Genomic DNA, 23,620 nt, shown 5'->3' on the forward strand with positions numbered 1-23,620 from the left:
TATGTCAAAAGACAATTACTAGATTGGATTCAGGACATGATTGAATCCTTTAGCAAGTTTCTAAAAGGCAGGGATGTGTGGTGCTGTTTAAAGTCAGTGTCATAGACTGTAACTCAGTGTTTAGAATACTGAAATTAAATTTGAAATCCAGCTGAGCTCTCACCATGTCATGCTATTTCGAATGTAATATGTCACGTATATTAAACACATACCATATGGTTCTGCAGTCACAGTCCTAGATGCTTTATACTCATTATCTCAGTTAATCCTCATCACCACCACAGAAAATAGATTCCTTCATTATCCTCATTTTGCAAATGAGAGAATAGAGGCGTAAAAGAAAGCCTGCCTCAAACACTCAGCTATTAATTATTAGAGCTGGGATTTGAACACAGATAAAGTTGTAATTATCATGTTATGTGTTTTCCTCCAAAGAGAAAGACCTATAACCTTCTTCTTTCCAAAGACAACCAATTTAGCAAGGACATGTGCCATGTTTATGTGTATTAGTACTGCCTGCTGCTTTTTCTTTTTTCTTGGAATGTTCAAGCATGCGTACAGGTGATTTTTGACAACAATATTTTTAAAGGCGAATTGACATGAAGCATATACACAAGTGTCTAAGTAAATTCATTTGTCTGTTAAAGCTGCTGAAAATGGCTCAGCAGCTCAAATGAAGATTTGTAAGTTTTGTGGATATGTTTTCAAAATTGGAGAAATTACCATTAAGGGTCTCTTGTGACTCAAAATTGGAGAAATTACCATTAAGGGTCTCTTCCTGACAATTGCATGTCAGGAAGAAACATGCAATTATGTATCAAGACTGTTGTTGTTTCCCCTAAAACTAAGGTATGGGTGTCACTCAGGAGAGTATTTATTGTTACTGTTTACAGTGATTGGATGAGTGAGTGAACACATTGACATGAAAGGACTGACCTTTACTAACTAAAAGGGGGTTCAGGCAGGAAGTCGTTACTGGATTTAAAGGGCCTGTCTCTCCACTTGGCAGCTCCCTCAAGCCAGAGTCTCTCCTTTGGGGTTCAGGCTTACTGAGAATCATTAGATTAGGCCATTGAAAACTTAGAGGCTATTCATGCTCCACAGCCACTTAGAAAAAAGCAATATAAAGTTTTACTTTTTTAGATGTTATATATAGTTACTATCCACAGTTTATAGTGGGAGATTTTAGTTTTAATAATGGTTGGGGACAATGCAACATTATGGTACCAATTCAGCTCACTACAATGGACCATTCTAGGATTTATTATCAAAACGACACCTACGTACTGTTTTTTAATACAGCATGTGTTCTGATAATGTTGTTTATGGGATCAATAGTATCTTGGAGCTGTCATTGGTCAGTTTGATTGTTTGATCCTGATTGACCTTTTCTGCCCAAGAGCAGACCTTGTGTTGAGATTATGTTTTCAACATGCCTGTGTTCAGGCTCTCCCATTTCAAAATACTCCATGGAAAACTTCTTTAACTGAAATATAGCAGTCTTGTCATATTCTTAACTTACTCTAAAAATGTACAGTAGCAGGAGCTCAGGGTCAGAATATGAATTCAGTTTTTCTGTGTTCACATATTGTAGTTAAGGAATATCTCCTTGTATGTGAAGTTATAAGAAATGTTACCTGGATATTTTGGACAAATTGTATACCTAGTTTTAAAAAATAAATAATAAAAAATATTCTTTAGTTTGAAAGCAAATGATGGACTTTTGTTAGTAATGTTTGATTACTTGTTTGTTTTTTTTTTTTTTTTTTGTAGGGAGCTTGGAAATGTGTGGGGAAATTGATTTCATTAATTCATTCACTAATTTTTAAACATGTATACCTTTATTAAGCACATGTGCACCTTTATTAAGCACATGTGCAATTCCAGGCACCTGGGTTAGGCACCAGTAATTACATTAAAGAAAAAAATCCCAACTTACCAAACACCACCACTATAAAAATACCAACTACCTCTTTGTGAAAAGGTAATTAGTATAAATAAAGGATCTGCTTAAATTCCAACAAATAAGAGTAAGTAGGAAGTTGATTGCTACTGGGAAACTATTTCACTTATACGTATTCAACTTCTAAACAGTTACTGTGGCTACAGATACAAAGAATGTGATTATTTCTGATTTTGTTGCCAGGTGAGAATTCGATCTTTATTTTTAAAGCCCTTAGGGGCAACAGAGCTTGTTTGTTTCTTGGCTATTTTAGTTTGTAAATTCTATCAGCAAATCTGCATACTAAGTGCACCTTAATTATTTGATTCTGACTAAAAATGACTAAGATTTTGTTGTCATTCTTCCCTTCTCTTCTTCCACTTGCCATTTCCTCTTTCTCCTTTTTCCCTTCTTCCTTCATCTTCTCCAACTACTATAACTTACCAGTTAGAGGAAGTATCAGGCATTAAGTGTGCAAGAAGTACTACCCTGAGATTTTTGCATAGGTTAATTCTGCTAACCAACACAATGACCGGAGGTAACTGCTGCTGTTAGCCTGTTTTACAGATGAGGAAATGAAACACCAAGAGTTGAATCTGCCCAAACTGCACATGGGATTGGCTTAGTTGTTTATTTTCCATACTGTGTGAGGAAAGACTTTGACTTATGACATAGATGAAATCAAGGGAGTTTCTCTTTATCTAGGTTTACTTGTTAGCCAATGAAAGTGCTTTTAAACTTGAACCTCTCTAAATATTTATTATTGTCTGCTGACCTCTTTCATTGAGTAATTCACTGAATAGAAAAATTTAACGCTTAAGCCAAGCAGAGTCATTGGGTATGTAAATATGGCAAGTCATAGTATTTGAAAATAGTGAAAGACTATGTTCACTTGGGATTTGGTAGGACTTTTAAAAATAAAAATAATAGTAGTAAGCAGCAACAGACTGTAATACAAACTAGGAGGCATGAAGATTGTAGTGCTGTTGGTTATTATTTGATAGATGAGCACTCTTGAACACAGTTTAATCCAATTTACTTAGAGTTTATATGATATTTTTTGTCATCTAAGAAGCATTGAAAAAAATGACAGTATGTCCAAAATTTTCAGAAAAATCTTAAATTGTGGTTCTCAGGGAAACCTGTGGTTTTTCTCACATGTAAAATAAGTACAATTTAAATAATAAGGTAATTGCATAATTTCCCTATTATGTAATTATATAATTACATAATAATAATGTAACAATGTATACATAATGCAACAATTTAAACAAAATTGGAGCTCAAAAAATAATTCTGAAAGAATGAATGAGTCTATAAAATTTGGTGAATGTACTTGGCTGAATTTGGATAATTTAAGCCCATATAAATTCTACTTGTCACAAAAATAAATTTTAAATTACTAGAAGTGTTATTCTTGCCTTTGCTCTTGAGGAAAGAACTTAAAAGTTATGGGATAGCAAAGTGGGAGATGCAGAATTATGAGATAATATTACTTGAATTATGTAAATTGTTTATGTAATCTGAATATTAGCTTACTTCCTAACTTTTCTTAAATTTACTGGTCGCCCTCTGTGACTTCAGGTAGCAGATAAAAAAACAGCCCTAAAGCTAAGGAGAGAAGGAAGCCTGCAGTGTGGGAAGGGAAGCCATTAAAACTTTCCTCAAAGAACAGTGGCAGCTATATTTTGCAGAGTGCTGGGAAATGGTTATTATCACATCTCTGTGCTTTCTGGAGGTTAAAACATTTGACAGCATGAAGTCCGATTATATATAAATTTACCTAAAAGTTAGAAGAAAAGTTGTATTGAGAATTGAGAGACAACAGAGAAGGCTTGGTTGATTCAAAATTTCTACTAGCTTCAAAGGCCATATTATCTGAAATTAATTCTCTTAGTTATTATTCCTTCATTGTATATTCTCCATCTCAGTTTAGTGTATTAAACTGCTTCATACTAAAGAGTTTGCGATACCTCCAATTAACTTTTGCAGTATTTCCAATTAGCTTTTCCCCTGAAAGGAAAGAAGATGAAGAATAGGCTAGAGAAGGAAAGGAAGTGGCCCCAGAAAGGTTAGGTATAAGGTGGTAAGGATGGAGGTTTCCTGCTCAAGTCCTTGCTCCGGCGTCACTGTCCCCATGAAGCCTACCATGAACACCTATGTATATTATCCTCATATGTATACTGCATCCAGCCCCTTCCTCTTGCATTTCCACTCTCATGTCTTTATCCAGAGCTACCTCTTCCTGTAGTATCTATTGCTTCATAACATATTATATCATTTTGTTATATATCATGTTTATTGCTTATTACTTGTATCTGTCAGCTAAAATATAAGCTTTATGAGGACAGGGATCTTTACCTCTTTTGTTCATTGATATATTAAAAGTGCTTAGAAAAGTGCTTGGACATAATAGGCATCCAAATATTTGTGGTAAAACTGTTCCATAAGAAAAAAAGAAAAAGAAAAAGGGTAGCCCCACATTCCCAAAGATGTAAATAGAGTCCTAAGTACTTTGAATAATTCAAAGGAATTCAGAGTGAAATTTTTAAAAGAAGATTATTATTTCCTTCCATGTACTACTGTTTAATTTCTATTTCAGTCCCCACTGGGGAGCATTGACACTGGTCATTTCAGGAAGTAAAGCTTTGATGATAAGGGAGCTTATTTTAATAAAGAGAGAGAAAGGAAAGGACCAATGCATTGACCCATGGTTAGGGGGTTTCTGAGGAAATGGCTGTTCCCCTGTTTTATGCAGAGGGACTGTGGATTCTGCTTGTACCTTGTTTATTTATGGGTTACTAGAGATTGGTGAGTGTTTCAAATAAACAGAGTTTATTACAGAAATTTATGTGATTTGATTTATTCCAATTGGAAGAAACAGAATGGTGAAACATGAATAAATTTCTACTTATTGTATCTTTAATTAGAATATTCTGTCAGAGTCTCCAAAATTTTAATCTATAGATCAGTGTTGTTTCAAAATAAAATGTTAATAGCAAAATGACAAAACATAAGGTATCCATATCCGTCAAACTATTTATCCCATTCCTAAGAATTTGTTCTGTTTTTACATAGAAGTGTAAGAAGCTATAAAGATATTCATAACATTTTTTATACTTGTGGAAAAAATAAAAACATCTAACTACCTACCAAGACTTCAATATGTCTACAATGCAATTTTATGCAGCCATGGTATAGAAGTATAATTATGATATGAAAAGATATCCATCAAATATTCACTCAAATGGGTTTTAAAGCAGTATGTTCTATATATAAGTATATTCAAGCATGAACAACTTGAAAATTATAATAGCAGTGATTATCTCAGGATAGTGGAGGCTTATTTTCTCTTTTTAGTTTTTCCTTTCCTGTACTTTATATATATTTTTACAATTAGAAATTAGAATGCAGAAAATATATAGTAGCATTTATCAGAGGATAAGACAATGTTTGTATATTACGTTTTCATAATTTTTTGATATCTCACTGACTTTTGGTATTAAAAAGACTTGAGGTCTTCGAAGAGTTGTGTTGCTTTTGTTTAACAGCTGTTTATGTTTGGAAAAAGGGAGAAGAATTTAATATTTTATGTACAGTGCTATAATTGTTTGAGTAGACATGGGGAGTGCTATATTCACTGGGAATATGTATAGTACTTTAACTGCTTAGAATATACTTTTGTACACTTTATCTCTTTACTGTTGTGAAAGGTGAATTATCTGTTGCTTCCACTTCAGAAAAGAGAGGTTTTGTTTGTTTGTTTGTTCGCTTGTTTGTTAGCTGAGTCAGGATCTGGCTCTGTTGCCCAGGCTGAAATGCAGTGGCAAGATCACGCCTCACTGAGGCCTCAACTCCCGAGGCTCAAGCAATATTCTCCCACCTCAGCCTCCCAAGTAGCTGGGACTACAGACTTGCGCCACCACACCTGCCTAATTTTTTTTTTATTTCTAGGAGAGAAGAGGTCTTGGTATGTCGCCCAGGCTGTTCTCAAATTCCTGAGCTCAACGGATCCTCCCACCTGGGCTTCCCAAAGTGCTGGGATAACAGGCATGAGCCAACCTGCCCAGCCAGAAAAGAGAGATTTTAATGCTTATGTGCTTTATGTGATTTGCTCCGGTTCATTTAGCTGGTAAAGCCTGGGCTCTGAAATGCAGATCTCTGTGCTTACAGAAAACATGCTTTTAAAAAAAAAGTTATGAATAAATGCAGGCAAATAAATTATAAGCTCTGAAGGACAGAGGATGTTTTTAAGACTATCTGCATACTAAGGTATGGATGTAAGACATACCACCATTTGGAATTTTTCCCTTGAGCATACACAGATATAGTCATGAGTGGCAGCTGTGATAGCACAGCTTCTGAAGGAGAGAAAGCAACTAAGGACTGCCTTGAAAATATTTAAGGAGTTATTTGAGCTGCTGTGTTGCAAGTTCGCCTAATTAGAGTGGCTACTTTCCTTTGTATTCTCTTGGCAATGTACAGGGATTCCGATGAATTGGATTGAGAGTAAGAGGTTGACATCCAAGCTCCATGTATTTTTGTGAAGTTAACATTGGCAATGATATCTGGAACTTAGTTCTTTTCTACAGTTGGCCATGTGGGTTTTTTTATTTACATACATTTATGAGGTACATGTGCAATTTGTTACATGCGTAGTAGGTGGCAGTGTTTTAAACAATGGATTTCACCTCTCCTTTGAATGCTTGTTTGAGAAAAGTAATTCAAATCCTATCTAAATAAATACATTTATATAATCATGACAACTTTTAAAAACAATTATAATTTTCTTTCACTAGTACTGTGTATGTTTTGAGCTACTGTGTTTAATAAGCTAAGGATATATTTGAAGATTTTATCAGTCCACTTGGCATCTCAAACTTAATATGTTTAAAAACATCTCAAACTTAATATGTTGAAAACATAGCTCTTGACCTTGACCCCTTGTCCGCCTCCAACAAGTCTTTCCCAATTCAGCTACTGGTGACAACATCCTTTTAGTTGCTTAGACCAAAAACCTCAGTGTCCTCCTTGAGTCCTCTCTTTTCACACCCTGTGTCCAATCCATAGCAAATCATGCTGAATTTACCTTTAGAATATATATGAGTTTGAGGCATTTCTTACCTGCTCCACGGGTTCACGCCATTCTCCTGCCTCAGCCTCCCGAGTAGCTGGGACTACAGGCACCCGCCACCACGCCAGGCTAATTTTTTGTATTTTTAGCAGAGAGACGGTTTCACCGTGTTAGCCAGGATGGTCTTGATCTCCTGACCTCGTGATCTGTCAGTCCCCGCCTCCCAAAGTGCTGGGATTACAGGCATGAGCCACCGCGCCCAGCCCACCAACACTTCTTACCTGAATGTTGGCAGCAGCCTCCTAACTGGTCTCCCTCCTCTGTCTTGTACCCCTTTAGTCTATTTTCAATGCAGTAGCCAGGTGAATCCCTTTAACCTAGAGCAGTTTATATCACCACTCATGTCACAAGTGCTCAAGCCCTTCACCTCTTTCAAGTAAATGGCAGTTATCCCAACGTCCAACCAGGCCAAGCACTGTAGCCTCATGTTACCTCTCCTACCCGTTCCCTGATAGCTACTTTTCCCCCTCCTCTGTTCCAGCCACATTGGCCTCTGCTGTCCTCTGACACCCCAGGCATGCTCCTGCCTTGCCCTTTGCACTTGCTCTTCCCTCTGCCCAGAACACAATCTCTCTAAATTGCTCGTGGCTTACTCTCGGAGCTCCTTCAGACTTTCTTCAAATGCCAGCTTCTCAGTGAGGCCTTCCTGGCTGCTGTCCTTGAGCTCTCCACTGCTCTACTCTGCTTTATTTTTCTCCAAAGTATAATACTTACCATTATATGTTATTTATTAATTTTATGTTGTGTCTGTTTTCCCAGAATATATGTATTGCAAGAAGTCAGGGATTTTTGTCTGTTTTACTAAAGATTGTACCCCTAGTACCCAGAACAATGTCTGGCACCTAATAGGGACTCAACAAAACTTGCTAAACATCTATTAACCCAAAAGTTATTTAATTTATTATATTTAATGGCAGGTATTGTATTGAGCAGTAGAGTACTATGTACTGTTAATCTTGCTAAAATATACTTAAATATATCATTTTAATTTAGGGAGGGGGATATGACATCATTTCTGCTCTCTCACTAGAATTTTAGGTACATGATGATGTTTAAACAAATTTGCCCAAAAAAACCAAATTCTATTTCAGAGATAAAGCCATTGTTTATACAATTATTATACTTATAGTAGCTATTTTTTTAACTTCAACTTTTCTCTTCTGTCTTTCTTGTTTTTGTTTTCCAGAAAAGAGGCACAGTTAGATGAAGAAGGACAGTTTCTTGTCAGAATAATATATGATGACTCCAAAACTTATGATTTGGTTGCTGCTGCAAGCAAAGTCCTCAGTAAGTTGAATGCAACTTTCCTTCTTTGGCCAAGTTACACGTAGAAGCTCACAGAATGCATGGTTCAAGATCACAACGCAGGGTTACAGAAGTGGTGCAGAGCATTTGTACAACCTGCATAGTTGTGTGGTGGGCATCCACATATCATGTTAGGCTCAGGCTATGCCAAGTCTTATTTTTCCTTTTGCAAATTCTTTAGAGAATAGAAAAGAGTAAATGTGCTCTTCTTGTTGTTTTTTGAGACAGGGTCTGGCTCTGTCACCCAGGCTGCACTGCAGTAGTGGCCCAACTCCGGCTCACTGCATCCTCTGCCTGCCAGGCTCAAGTGATCCTCCCATCTCAGCCTCCCAAGTAACTGGGACTACAGGCACGCACCACCACGCCCAGCTAATTTTTTGTATCTTTGGTAGAGACGAGGTTTCATCATGTTGTCCAGGTTGGTCTTGAACTCCTGAGCTCAAGTGATCTACCTGGCTCAGCCTCCGAAAGTGCTGTGATTGCAGGTGTGAGCCTCCACGCCAGGCCCAGTCCTTTGTCTCCCCCAACAGAAAGCCATGTATTCAGGAAGGAAAGAGAATTATTGATACTTAATGTAACAACATCAGTTGTGGTGTCAAGAAAACGGTAGTTATTCAAGTATAATATGTGTTTCTCCAAATCTCTTTTGTAGTCACAAGTTATATTAACTATTGGTAAAAGAAACATGAAACTGAGATCTACCACAGATAAATATCTTTCTGAAGAAGGCAAAGTTTTAAAAATTTCATGGAGAAGAAGTTGTTCTCAAAGTAGTATCTATTATTCCCACAGTGCTTAATTTTTAACTGGGCTATAGTTTGGATACAATAGAATGAAGCTTTTAGCTTTGCCACATATAACTAGGAAAGCAAACACTATCTATAGTAGAATAAAAATTGTTTTAAAAGATTGGTAAATGTTTAATATTAACAAGAAAAATATCTAGCCTCCAGCAATCAAAATTGAAACAAACATGAAATAACTTTTTTTATTATCAATTTGGCAGTCTTAAAAATGGAAATATCTAGTGTAATGATGGAGTACAGTTAATGGGAAATCACATACATTTTAAATGTGATGGTAGTTAAGACAACTTTTTTGAGAACAATTTTGCCTCATGAAAGCCTTTTAAAAAAATATTAAAACCTTCAGTAATTTTTCCTAAATAAATTATTAGATCTCTTTCCATTAAGATTTATGTATGTGTTTTCATGTCAGAGTTCCATATATTATCAAAAACTGAAAAAAAGCCTACATTTTCAATAAGAAGGGATTGGTTAAATAAATTATTGCATCCATATGTTGAATAAGATAGCAATTAAAACTGATACACAGCACTTTGAGAGGCCGAGGTGGGTGGATCACTTGAGGCCAAGAGTTCGAGACCATCCTGGCCAACATGGTGAAACCCCCTCTCTACTAAAAATACAAAAATTATCCAGGTGTGGTGGTGGGTTCCTGTGGTCCCAGCTACTCAGGAGGCTGAGGCAGGAGAATGGCCTGAACCCGGGAGGTGGAGGTTGCAGCGAGCCGAGATCCTACCAGTGCACTACAGCCTGGGCGACAAAGTGAGACTCTGTCTCAAAAAACTAAAAAAAATGTGATACAGAAAATTTAAGTTTTAGGAAATATTAATGATTGTTTATTAAGAAAAAAGCAGGACACCAGGGTACATGTTATATGTAATCAAGTTATTAAATATACATATTTATATAAAGACTTTTGTATCAAAATATTGTCATGTGCATTCTTGATGATTTTAAAAATCTGTGTTTTTTGGAAAAAAGAAGTAGTATATCAAATATATGCTTTAAAATGGCCAAAATTAAGTACAGGGTGAGTATCTCTTGTCTAAAACTCTTGAGACCAGAAGTGTTTAGGCTTTCAGATTTTTTTTGGATTTTGGAATACTTGCATATCCATAAGAAGATATCTTGAGGATGGGATTCAAGTCGAAACATAAAATTCACTTATGTTTCATGTACACCTTATAGACATAGGCTGAAGGCAATTTTGCACAATATTTTAAATGATTTTCTGCATGAAACAACATTTTGACTGCAATCCATTACACGAGTTCAGGTGTAGAATTTTCCACTTGTAGTGTCACGTTGGTGACCAAAAAGTTTCAGGTTCTTGAGTATTTAGAATTTCAGATTTTCAGATTAGGTATGCTCCACTTATAATTTGTAATAGAAGCTGAAAAACTGGTTGCTTTGCTTGTAAATGCAAATGTACACCATTAACATGTTTATACGTTGTCTTCTCTGATTTCATTGTATTGTCCTGGCGGGATTTTTTTCATATGATCTATGCTTGCCATGCACAAAAATTGAAGACATTTTACATTACTTAATAAACACTTATCTTCATTTTTTCTATTAACAATATTTCACCTATTATATGCTTTTTTTCCCCTCTTGAATTTGTAAAATAGATCTCAATGCTGGAGAAATCCTCCAAATGTTTGGGAAGATGTTTTTCGTCTTTTGCCAAGAATCTGGTTATGATACAATCTTGCGTGTCCTGGGCTCTAATGTCAGAGAATTTCTACAGGTAAGCAATTTGAGGTCCTATAGTTAAAAGTTCTGTGTTTATAACTCTCAAATATAGACTCTAGAATACTTTTGTTCACTCAGCTGTACAAGAGTGTCTTGCTTCTGAAATGGAATCGTAGTCACCTTTTTCTAATTCACATAAAATCATCGTTATTGGAGCGTCTCGAATACATTTTAGCATTATATTTTTTCTTTAACTTCTGGTTGCTGATACTGAATATGCAAGTTGTAAATTAATGTTCCCTGAAGAACTCCAGGTGGTCTTTTGTGATCTGTTCAACTGCCCTTTTTTTGGGGTAATGGCTCTATATCCTAGTGATTGTGGTTTTATGTGTTAGACATTTAATATGGCCTTATTTTCTATTTACAAAACATTCCTAGTTTGTAGATATAATCGAGCAATGTATCAGTATTTATGAAGTTCTACCTGGAGCTCAATGTTTAGGAAAAAGTAGTAGGGTTTTCAGGTGTTCTGTCACCAAAACATACTTAAGATCCATTATCATTAGTTAAATATTAATTAATCTACTGTACGAGGGAAAATAGGAAACAGTCCAAAGTCAGTTTCAGGTGAAAAAGTTAAATAATGCAATCACAGGCCTTTGTCTTACATTCTTGTTAAAATTACCTTAAAAGATTGTACTAGTAAATTACACATTAGATGAGAGACTATTTCTGGATTGACTATACTATTTTAAGCATTGACATTTGTGAGACCCTCTTCTTGAAATGTGTTAACATTGAAAATTATATAGTTGTTTGCAAAGGATATTTCTAAACTGGCTGCTTTCAGCAGCCAGATCTTGCTGGAAAATGATGTCAGTGCAATACTAGCTGAACCGAAGCCCAGTTTTGAGGGAATGTAAACTACTTTCAATCCAGCTGCATTATTGATTTAACAGCCAAAATAAGAACTTTAGTGTTTAATCAAAATGTCTGTTGTTTACATAGTGACATTTTTCTTATAAACTTAAAACAGCATTAAATCAAGTTGGAAACTGGTTTGCAATCTCCTGCCATGGATTTACTAAACTACTGGTGTCAAAAAAAGCTGCCACTTCCAAATGAAGTAGCTGCCAAGAGATATTTAAATAAAATTGAACAGGCAGCATTTAATGGGATTATTTTAAATGGATTAAAATTTGATACTTAAATGTTTTGGGGGATTTTGGGTTTTTGAATACATATTTCACTTTTTAGTACTTTTGTTGGCCACTATCAACTTATAGCAAAGTTTCAACTTTCAGTTGTTCTGACTTATAACTCTCTCTCTCAATGCCCATGTTTACATAACAAAACAAAGATTCAAGTGGTTTTATTAATTCCTTTTTTTTTTTTTTAACCTCTACTCATTGTGACCATCTGCTAAGCTTGTTATGGCACAGTAAGAGAGCAAGCGGCCTTTTAGGTGTGTTTCTCTGTATTCCAGAGCTGCTTTATCCAATAGGACAGCCACTAGTGCATGAGGCTACTCAGCATTTAAAATGAGATGTGCAAACTGGGGAGTGGCTCACACCTGTAGTCCCAGCTACTTGGAGGCTGAGATGGGAGGATCACTTGAGCCTGGGAGATGGAGGCTGCAGTGAGTGAGCTGTGATCACATCACTGCACTCCAGCCTGGGTGACAGAGTGAGACCCTGTCTCTACATACATACATACATGTGTACATACATACATACACACAACAAAGTGCAATGTGCTGCAAGTGTAAAATATACACCAGATGTCAAAGACAGTACAAAAAGAATAAAAGATGGCTCATTCACAATTTTATATTGATTGATTTCATGTTAAAATGTTAATATTTTGGATATATTTGGTTATATAAAATGTAGTTAACATAGCTTTAAATTATACACAATTTTATTTTATTTCTCTTTCAACGTGAGAGTGAAAAATGAAGAAACTAGAAAGTTAGAATACTGTAGTTTTCATCAATATTTTACATTATGATTCAGTTCTTTTATTTTCTCCTGGTTTTGAAATTATACATTTTAAGGGCAAATTGAATATGTTAAAATACTGCTTTTCTAAAAAGTAGATATTTATGTTATCATTAGGCTGATTACACAGAAATTAAATGGACTTTTTCTGTGTGACTATAAAACAAAATCATTAACTTTCATACATTGTTTTAACATGCCAGCACACATATATTGACATTTTTATTACGTAAATTAGTAAAATATTCTTTATGGTGACTTCAACTCTTCACTAAAAATTTAAAGACTTTCTTTCTGTTTCAGTCCTGGTTTTAATCAGTCACAGCATCTTTAGATTCTATTTCCCAAATACTGAGCTTTGGGAATTCTGCCACTTTTCTCTATTTCCCCCCACACTTCTTTGGGAGAGTCTACCATTATCTAGAGGTTGAATGGATTCCCTGCTTCTCTTCATGACTCCTCCAATCTCTTCTCCATCCTATAACTCTAGTGCTTTTTCTGAAATGCAAATGTCTCTCGTCGTATCGTTTTCTTGCTTAAACTCTGGAGTAATTTTTTATTGCTCACTGGAAACTGTCAAAATATTTAAAACAATTGAAACCTACATCCTTTCTGCATCTTTCCTCTCCCTCTCCCCCAGTCCAGCCAAACTTAACCTCTTTAAGAACCTTGTATTTATCTTGTTCCCGCTATCCTCTCAGCTTTTCCACTGCTCTTCTCTTTGCCTGGAGCATGTTTCCAGCACTTTCCCCATAGATAAATTCTATTAATTCTGCAGGTAAAATTACTTCTCTGGGAAGACGCCACTCCTCTCTCCAAGCTCTGCCCTATCCTAGTCACGGTAACTAACCTCTCTCTTATTTTCATAGGACACTCTATTTCCCCAGCCACAGTAGTTTTCATACTGCATTATCATTCCCATTTGATGGACTGGAATGTAAACTTCAGGAAGCCAGAGATCATGTATAATCTCTTAATGTTTGTACCTTCACAGATGCAATCTGTATATCTGAGAATAAATGAATATCTTTTTTAAAAAAGTGAATATTTGTTGTTTGTGCAAAAGCAGAAAACACACAATAGGAAGCAAACACACCAATAGATCAAGCTGAATTATTTGCCTCAGGATAACCCATTTCGAGTGAGATCCTGTAATTTTTTTTACGGATGAATCATAGATTGAAATATAAAAGAAGAGACATACACTAGACCAATTTCCTTTTCAGGTGAACATCCTAAATTACTGTTTATTATTTAATTTACAGGGTACATTGCTTGTATCTGTTGACACTTTTAAAATGGTCGTTCTGACATTTCCATTTTAAGCTTTTAGGGAACACTAAAATAGCTACTGAAATCATAACATGGGAGACTATTTGATTATGCCTTAGCTGAGCAACTCTGACTCACTCATCATAGCAAGCAGAATTTCCTTGGAAGTTGCCTGTCCACAGCCTCTCAGTTAGATACATTATTAAGAATAGGTCTGTCTTATATATGTATATACATACCATACCATTGTTTTTACTTTTCTTGAAATAATGAAAGAAAATTTCTAAGTACTAGACACAGCATATAATAGGCAATTAATGAAACAGTCTTTAAATAATAGAATTAATTAATTCTGAAGTATATGTGTCTTTATAATTATTTGGTCCAGCCTGTTTTATCAGGATAATACCTCTTTTGCTTAAATTTTTTATTCGAGGATACTGTATAGATAATATCTGTAGCTTAGCTCCAGAAAAATATTTGTTTTCTCACATGGAGGTTATCATTTCCATTCACAGTTGACTTAACGAATACTAACATATCTTTCCCCTTGAAAGGCTTTGGTGCCAATATCCAATTCATGACCCTGCTTATGCAGTCTCTCCTGTGCTTACAAATTCAAGTTTAAAAAATTTGCATTATGCGTATTTTAAGCCACACTGAGACTTTAACAAAAAAATAGCTAGAAGTCCTAAATGGATAAATAAAATATAATGGGATATATTTAGGATAAATAAAATTTAGGATAAATAATATTTAGGATATATTTACGATAAATAAAATTTATCCTAAATGGATAAATAAAATATAAAATTTAATGGATAATAAAATATAAGAAATATTTTTAGAGAAAACTTTGTAGAAATACTCCTCTTCTCTAGGCATTTCACAGTTTAGAATTGATTTTTTCTTAAATCACCAGTGAAAGCATCAACTTGTGGGCTGATGAAAAAAGTAATAATCTTTGGCATTTATTCTTTGGTTGATTTAATAATTGAAAATATAATGTATCAAAAAGAGAAAAAGAAGACATTTTTAAAATTTGATTTTTGGATCTTATATATTTTACCTGGGTATATTGTTTTAAAGACAAGACCATATTTCAGTAAGAATTTTGTCTAGTTTTTCCACTTTTTTATTCATAAATTGACAATAAAATGTGTGGTTCCATGCTATTGCTATAGTCAATGTCTTTTTTTGCGTTTTTTAATGTTTTATTATTATTATTATTATTGAGACGGAGTCTTGCTCTGTCGCCCAGGCTGGAGTGCAGTGGCGCAGTCTCGGCTCACTGCAAACTCCGCCTCCCGGGTTCACGCCATTCTACTGCCTCAGCCGCCCGAGTAGCTGGGACTACAGGCGCCCGCCACCACACCCAGCTGATTTCTTTTTCTTTTATTTTGTATTTTTTAGTAGAGAGGGGGTTTCACCGTGTTAGCCAGAATGGTCTCGATCTCCTGACCTCGTGATCCGCCCGCCTCGGCCTCCCAAAGTGCTGGGATTACAGGCATGGGCCAGAGCGCCTGGCTGCTATAGTCAATTTCTATCTGAAGCTTCTAGTGTACTGATGAAAAGACTGCAAAGAATACATGGGATTTGAAAGCTTCATAAGAAAATAGCTGATAAGGAATGTTCAGTTTAATGTTATTTCTACCTTAATCCACGCTCACCTCTACTCTCTAATGTCCTATTGCATTATGGCACATTCTATTTTCCCTAAATTACTGCAACAGTCTCTCCCATCTCACATGCATTTCTGTAGTATGATTTTGCCTCTTCCTTGCGGGAGGTAAAATTCTCTTTTCCTTGAATCTGGGTTGGCTTTAGTGACTATTTAACCAATCGAATGGGGCAGAAGTGAGATATTTAAACTTCCTAGGCTAGAGTACAGGAAGTCTTGGTTTCCTTCAGGGTATCTTGGAACAGTTGCTGTTGCGATGGTACCTCTAGAAACCCAGACACATGAAATGAGAAGCACAAGCCACATGGAGAGGCCACGTGTAGACTGGCAGATAGCAGTTCTAGCTGGGCTCTCAGCAAAGAGCTGGAAATAACTACCAGCCATTTGATTGATCCATCTTGGAAAACCAGCCTGCTCCGGCATTCTGATAATTTCAGCCCAGTTTCCATCTGATTCCGTCCCAAGGGTAGAACTTTCTAATTTAGCCAGACAACCCACAGAACCATGAAAAATAACAAATAAATTATTAAAGTTGTTTGACATACAGCTATGGATAACTAGACCACTACTCTGTGCATTATTTTTCCCTTTATATTTTATGTCTGTGTTAATATGTGTGTATATGCTTGTACAATGAGTCAAGAGCTTTGAGAAAGCTGTATTTGATAAGATAATCTATTACCCCTGGGAATAGGAGCCATGTCAGTCCCAAACAGGGCTACCAATTCAATTTCGATGGTATTACATTATTATTACATTATATTGTTTTTACCTCCCCTACAAATTTACAGAGTTAAAATGCAATTAAAATGAGCAGCGAAGGCTGCCAGGTTGACTATGAAAATATACGTGGGCAAATGCAATTTTAGAGAACAGTTAGGATTTAAATTATGACCTAATTTAAATTAGAACTCAGGTGAATAGTTAGATCAGCGTTCTTTCATTATTTGCTGGAGACACTGGCTTCTTCAACTAACCTTGATATGTTGACAGTTTCAGTCATTCACTCAACTCAGATATATTTGAGTTTATCAACTAGCGCCTCTGTTCAGCCTGCCATGGGATTTTCTTCAATTCCTGTTGGCTCCAGGTTTTGACTTATTAAATACAACATTGTGATTTGGCCACCAGGAACAATCTGAGATTGATGACTGATCTAATTCTTAAATGTTTGTGCAAAGGGTTATTTTAGGAAATATGAGGATTTTCCTGAACAGCTGTAAAATTCTAATACTTCCCTAAATTATTTATATTTCTTAAGAAAAAAGAGCACCATTCACTTTATTTTTAACTTTGGAATTTTAAAAAAGAGCTGTTTTCTCAGCATCCACAACGCCAATTTCTATAATCCAATAATAAAAATAGTTTTATTTTTTAAAAACTTATGAAGGAAGATAAGAAGTATTCCAGAATTGTAAGGCTTTTCAGTTTGAATAACTGGTATATATTTTCATAATTTTTCAAAATATTGATTAATTGTTACATGTAGTATTATATAGACTGGATCTTTTTTAACATGAGTTTAAAAGCAATAGAATAAGAGAAATATTTTAACTGTTTTTCTTTAATTAAAATATTTCCTTGGAGAGGATGGTAATGATAAATTGATATAGCTTTAACGCTATTTCCATTTAAATAATTTTAGTGACTCTGGTACAGTTTCTTTTTAAATAGAGATTTTCAATGTTTCTTTTAGAAAAGAATCTCTATATCTTTTCAGTTGAAAAGCTATTTAATTCTCAAGAAGCAGCTCCAGGAAGAAAAGGCAGGAAAAGTATTATGAAAGCATTCACTTCCTACTCCAATCTCATGCTATTTACTTTGGTGTTTCTCATCATCTAGGGTTTGATGTTCCATTTTACTTAGGTCGACTTTGTTTAAATGTTTTATCTTCAAATTCCAAAATGACTTTTTTCTTATAAAACTTAACAAAATATTTTTTAAATTACATGACTCTCATTAAAGAATGTTGGTGTTGGTCCTATTTTTCAGAGGTGTGAGGGATAGAAAGAAAGGAAATACTATACCTCATCCTCCTTCATTGAAAAACAAAAAGAGGTTTGCAATGACTGGTTTTAAAGATTTCTTGCAGATCTAAACTGCAGTAATATTCTCAACACAGACAACTCCCTTCTCCCCATCCACTAAAACAAGGATTCTTGGATACTGAAAATGTTTTTCTTTAAAACGTTCAAGGCAAGGTCTTACCCATTTCTGTGGATCCTTTAAAAAATTTAATTAGATGTCCTTGAAACAGGAAAATCAGGTAGTTGACTTCTGGGGACTTTGCCCCTGTAATTATGTAAGAACTTATTTTTGGCATGCATATTACAAAAAGAAAATGTGCATTTATTTTGAAACATCCCAAGATCTTTAAAAATGTGACACTTTATTACTCAAAGGAATGATAAATTGTCTTTTGTTTTCTAAATCTGTGAAGTGTACTATGTCTGAAATTCCAGTAGAGTACCCCAGAATACCAGAACTAATTTTTCTTTTATAAATGATAAATGCAAGGTGATAAAATAAACTAGACTGACAGGGAGCAGAATTCCTGAGTAGAAAAACCACATTCATTTGCTTGTAGAAAAACAATAAAATGATATTAGAACATTAAGAAATGAAATTATTAAATTAAAACCTTTAGGTATCTCAAGATATCAAAATAGATGAATGGACCTACTCTCTATATTTTTCCTGTTTTTTGATTTTATGAAGCCTAGAAGAATGAATCAAAGCATATTTCAGATTTACATCATTGTTTCCTGGGAATCTACTTGTGCTGCAATGTAAGAGTTTACATTTTTTCAGTGTCTTTTTTACTTTCATACATATGGACATACTTCTTTGCAATTGGCCACACAGCTCTTTACTTTCTGTAAGTGCTTCTGTGGGTATATTTAGAAATAACACAGAATATCAGTTTTGATATGAAACTCTTATTCCCCAGAATACATTGTTAGAGCAATGTGGATGAACTATCATCTTTGTTTAGATAGCATTATCAAATGTAGAAAGGGTTTTCTCTTGGCCATTGTAAGAATCTTTTTGTAGCAAAAAAAAAAAATTGTAGCCTGTATATGAGGATGACACATTTATTAGCAATATAAGTGTACTTAAATGAAAATAACTTTTAATCATTAATCTCATTTCTTGTAATAGTCTGGCTGTGGTAATTACTTTAAATTTTGAAAGAGTAAAGCCAAGTAAGGAAGGTTGTAACTCAAGAAATCCCAAGAGTATTTTTTATATTAGATACTATCTAAAGAAAATCAATATTACATTAAGTGGTGTTCAATCTTTTATGATTCAGGAGAGCACTTTACTTGTTCAATTAACTAATAGTAAATTCAATAACACAGTAAATCTCTGGAGAGTTGGTTACTGCAAAAAGACAGAAAAGGTGAACATTCTCATTTGGTGTTTTTGGTATCCTTTGGTGAGGGTGCAGTGCCTATCTTTAGTGACTCAGGAAGTACTGACTTGGATGATTGTGTCCACTCTCTGACTTGCCCCAGCATAAGTGGTGCCAGTGACATAAGTGGTGCAAGTCGTTATTGCCTTATGCCATCTGCTTGAGTGAAAGTAGAAATGTTTTAATAATCCAGTAAAAAAGATGAGTATGAAAATGATATAAGCACATTGGTACATTGATTTATGAAATATGTAAGCATTCTGTATAGAAAAAATATTAAAATGCCTTTTTGAAGTTATTGTTTGGTTCAATTTCCTTTTTTTTTTTTTTTTTTTTGAGGCAGAATCTCACTGTGTCGCCCAGGCTGGAGTGCAGTGGTGAGATCTGGGCTCACTGCAACCTCCACCTCCTGGGTTCAAGCGATTCTCATGCCTCAGCCTCCCAAGTAGCTGGGACTACAGGCATGCCCCACCACGCCTGGCTAATTTTTGTATTTTCTTTCTTTCTTTTTTTTTTTTTTTTTTTTTTTTTTGAGATGGAGTCTCACTCTGTCGCCCAGGCTGGAGTGCAGTGGCGAGATTTCGGCTCACTGCAAGCTCCACCTCCCGGGTTCATGCCATTCTCCTGCCTCAGCCTCCTGAGTGGCTGGGATTACAGGCACCCACCGCCACACCCTGCTAATTTCTTTTTTTTTCTCTTAGTAGAGACGGGGTTTCACCGTGTTAGCCAGGATGGTCTTGATCTCCTGACCTTGTGATCCGCCCGCCTTGGCCTCCCAAAGTGCTGGGATTACAGGTGTGAGGCACCGCGCCTGGCCAATTTTTGTATTTTCAGTAGATGTGGGGTTTCACCATGTTGGCCAGGCTGGTTCTCGAACTCCTGACCTCAAGTAATCTGCCTGCCTCCGCCTCCCAAAGTGCTGGGATTACAGGTGTGAGAGCACGCCTGGCCTCAATTTCTTTTTTAAGTGAGCCAACAACACAGTACCTGGGCCTGACTCTATTAGAAACATTTTCTAAATGCAGCCACAAGCTCAATTTTGACTTTGTGAGAAATGCAGATAAAAATAAAACTCTCTCAGTGATTTTTTTTTTCTCACCCGATTTTCTTTCACAAAATGTTTCACAACATAAGTAGAAGTATAAGGGGTCTGAGAGGGCTATGAAGCAGTTCTCAGGTCGTCCCTTCTAAGGGAAGAGTCCTAATGAGAATGATTCATCATTGGAAGAACCTCTCATACTATTCAACCAAGTAAAACAGTTTTAGGACTCCGGGGTTTGTAGGTTATATATACCTCTTCAATACTTAGTGGCTGCCATATTGGATTACTTTTACATGGCAATAGCAGCCTCTAGAGGCAATCCGGATGAACTGATGTTTTTGCTAAGAATTAGCTTGACTCCATCAGGTATAATTGTGGGGAAGGAAACAGTAGATGCAGACGGTTCAAAAAGTCACCAGATTTATCGAGTTGAGGAGGTCATTGAATCATTTATCTGGATTAGATTGTCAAACTTCATGACCTAGCTCAAATCACATCTTCAGTTTGAAGTATTTTTAACTCCATTCTTTCAGTCTGAATTGTTGGCTTCCTCATTTGCTCATCAAAAGCCACTCTACACATCCATTTGTGATATAAACCATGAGCTGCTTAATCCTCATCATGCAGATCTGCATCCAAACATCTACCCTGCACCCAAGCCCACATGACACAGTGTATGATATATAATGCACATACAATAACATTATAGAGTGAATGCATGATTGAGTGGATGTGTGGAAGGGACAGAAAATTAATGCTGTAAGTGTCCTGTTAGAGTATTGCTCAAATGTGGACACCCGCGGAATCATCTCATTCTCACCGTAGTTTCCTCCCAGTAATCTCACTGGATTTTTCTGTTTTTCTAAATTGACCTCTTTGAGACATTTGGAATGAAAGCCATAGTTTAATTTTGGCATATCTCCAGTACTTTCATTTTAGGTATGTTCTTTTATGCCCATGACATTTTGAAACTGTTTTGTTGTTTTTCTTTTCTTCTCTTTAAAAATAATCACCAGTTGTGAATAGATTACTACTTGCTTGGTGTATTTGTTTTTTATTGCTACCATAACAAATGACCACAAACTTAAGTGCTTAACACAAATTTATTACCCTATGGTTTCATAAGTTGGAAGTCCATTGCAGGTCTTACTGGACTATATTCAGCGTGCTGTGCTGGTGGGACGGGACTGTGTTTCTTTATGTTGGCTTTTGGGGATAATTGTTTTCTTCCTCATTCAAGTATTGACAGAATTCAGTTCCATGCAGTTATAGGGCTGAGGACCCAGTTTCCTTGACTGTCAGCAGGCAGCTGCCCTAAAGTCCTGGAGACCTCTCTCCAGTCCTTCAACAGTCTCCTACATCTCAGAACCAGTCGCATGGTGTTGAATCCTTCTCATACTCCCATCTCTTTGACCTTTTGTCATTGCACATCTCTCTGTCACCATGTAGCAGGGAAAGCTTCTTGACTTTTAAGTGCACAGTCACCCATGTGACTAGGTTGGGCTCACCTGGATAATCCAGGATAATCTTCCCAACTCAAGGTCCATAACCCTCATCACATCTGCAAAATCCCTTTCACCATGCGATACAACATATTCACAGGGATTAAGGCAAGGGAATCTTTCAGAGACAGTTGTTTTTTCAGCCTCGTCTGAAATGTGCTAAGTGCTTTATATACATGTTTAAAGTTATCTCCATTTTGCCAGAAGAAATAAAGTCTTAGAAAAATTGGGCGAATTGGCTACCTTCCTATGAAATGACAGTCATTATTTAAACCCATGTCTACTTGATCCTAAGTCATATTGCTCTTAATTCCTATACCATGCTGTGCTGTGTGTATATCCTACTATATATGTGCAGCACACACACACACACCCCAACATGTTATGAACTGAGTGTTATTTGAAAAATCATCTTGGGCCACATAAAATGTATAGCTTACACCGTTTCTTCTAGTACTCTTTACACCAATTAGTTTTGTATATTAGTAATCTGAGACTCAGGGAAACGTGGCATCTTCCAAACTAATGGCAAGGCTACAAAAACAGAAAATATTTATTGGCCAATTTATTAGTTTTCCTAGACTTTCAAAATGTAGTTATTTCACAGATTAGCTATGAAACTCCACCTTGATGATAGCATACTAAAGAACATGAAGAAATTACATTGTTTTAGTTTCTAAAATAGATTTTTAATTTCTAAGATATTAGAATAGTTAAATAGAAATCACAAAATAATATGCTTATGTTTTATATGCTTATAATTTGGGCATAGTTTTTTGAGTTGACAATTAAGTTTTAGAATTGCAGTATAAACAGAAGGGAAATGTGTGAGTCCTTTGGCCATTCCCTGTTGTTGATCACAACACGTAGAAACAGCTGCCCCAAGCTCTTGTAAATGTATCTTTGCCTTAGCCCTTAACTATGTTTTTTTCTGTTTTAGCCATCCTTTTTAATCCCACTTGTTTATCTTTTCTTAAAATGTACTAACTATTCATAGCTGCAGATATTTTTCTTAATTCTACTATCTTAGTTTCATTTTCTCTGTGGCACTTGCTTTACAGATATCTCAGTGGAGTGAAGGATGTGCTACATGTGCTGCTTCGCTGATCTGCCCACTAGACTCCGATTTGACTCGTTTTCATATCTTGCTTTCCCAGAGTCTGCTGTCATTGCGAAAGCATTGTTTATTGGTCTCCCTTTCTTCTTTGCTGCAGAACCTTGATGCTCTGCACGACCACCTTGCTACCATCTACCCAGGAATGCGTGCACCTTCCTTTAGGTGCACTGATGCAGAAAAGGGCAAAGGACTCATTTTGCACTACTACTCAGAGAGAGAAGGACTTCAGGATATTGTCATTGGAATCATCAAAACAGTGGCACAACAAATCCATGGCACTGAAATAGACATGAAGGTAACAAACAGCAATGGAGACTTCTGAACACAGATGACATCTAAAAATATTTTAAATGACACTCTCTAAATTTACCTGCAGTTATCACTGTTAGTGCTCTTCCCTGGAAGTATATATAAGCCAAAACAGTGGAAAGACCAGCAATCTTCTATATTTGGCCTGGGAGTGCATTATACAGGATATTTTTTTCCTTCTGGCAGCAGATTTTTCTTTCTAATTATATAGTGTTCAAGGCTACAAGAAATTTACTTTGCATTCCCTGTGAACACACACCAGCTGGGAAGCAGAAGGATATGTGACGACTGAGCTGTGGGTTTCAGCATGCAAAATATCCATAATATGGATAGTCAAATTCTAAGGCAATATAAAATTAAGTATTATTTTATAGATCATTTTCTCTTTGTCGATTTTTGT

General features: G+C 35.8%; 1 protein-coding gene across 8 annotated transcripts in view; it reads left to right on the plus strand.

Annotated features, from left to right (window-relative positions):
* The window catches only part of GUCY1B1 (guanylate cyclase 1 soluble subunit beta 1), a 48,791-nt gene that overhangs the window by 7,685 nt on the left and 17,486 nt on the right, over positions 1-23,620 (plus strand). For 6 of the 8 annotated variants that reach the window (NM_001291953.3, XM_011531901.2, NM_000857.5 and 3 more), the window contains 3 exons: positions 8,263-8,363; positions 10,819-10,937; positions 23,009-23,206. In NM_001291953.3, coding sequence (NP_001278882.1) covers positions 10,845-10,937; positions 23,009-23,206 — 291 coding nt within the window. In that variant the 5' untranslated portion in view covers positions 8,263-8,363; positions 10,819-10,844. Of the gene's footprint in view, positions 1-5,896; positions 6,049-8,262; positions 8,364-10,818; positions 10,938-18,558; positions 18,625-23,008; positions 23,207-23,620 lie in introns of all 8 variants that reach the window. The other 2 variants (NM_001291952.3, NM_001291951.3) reach the window with 2 other exon arrangements.

This window comes from Homo sapiens, chromosome 4, assembly GCF_000001405.40.
Source record: "Homo sapiens chromosome 4, GRCh38.p14 Primary Assembly".
Lineage (NCBI taxonomy): Eukaryota > Metazoa > Chordata > Mammalia > Primates > Hominidae > Homo > Homo sapiens.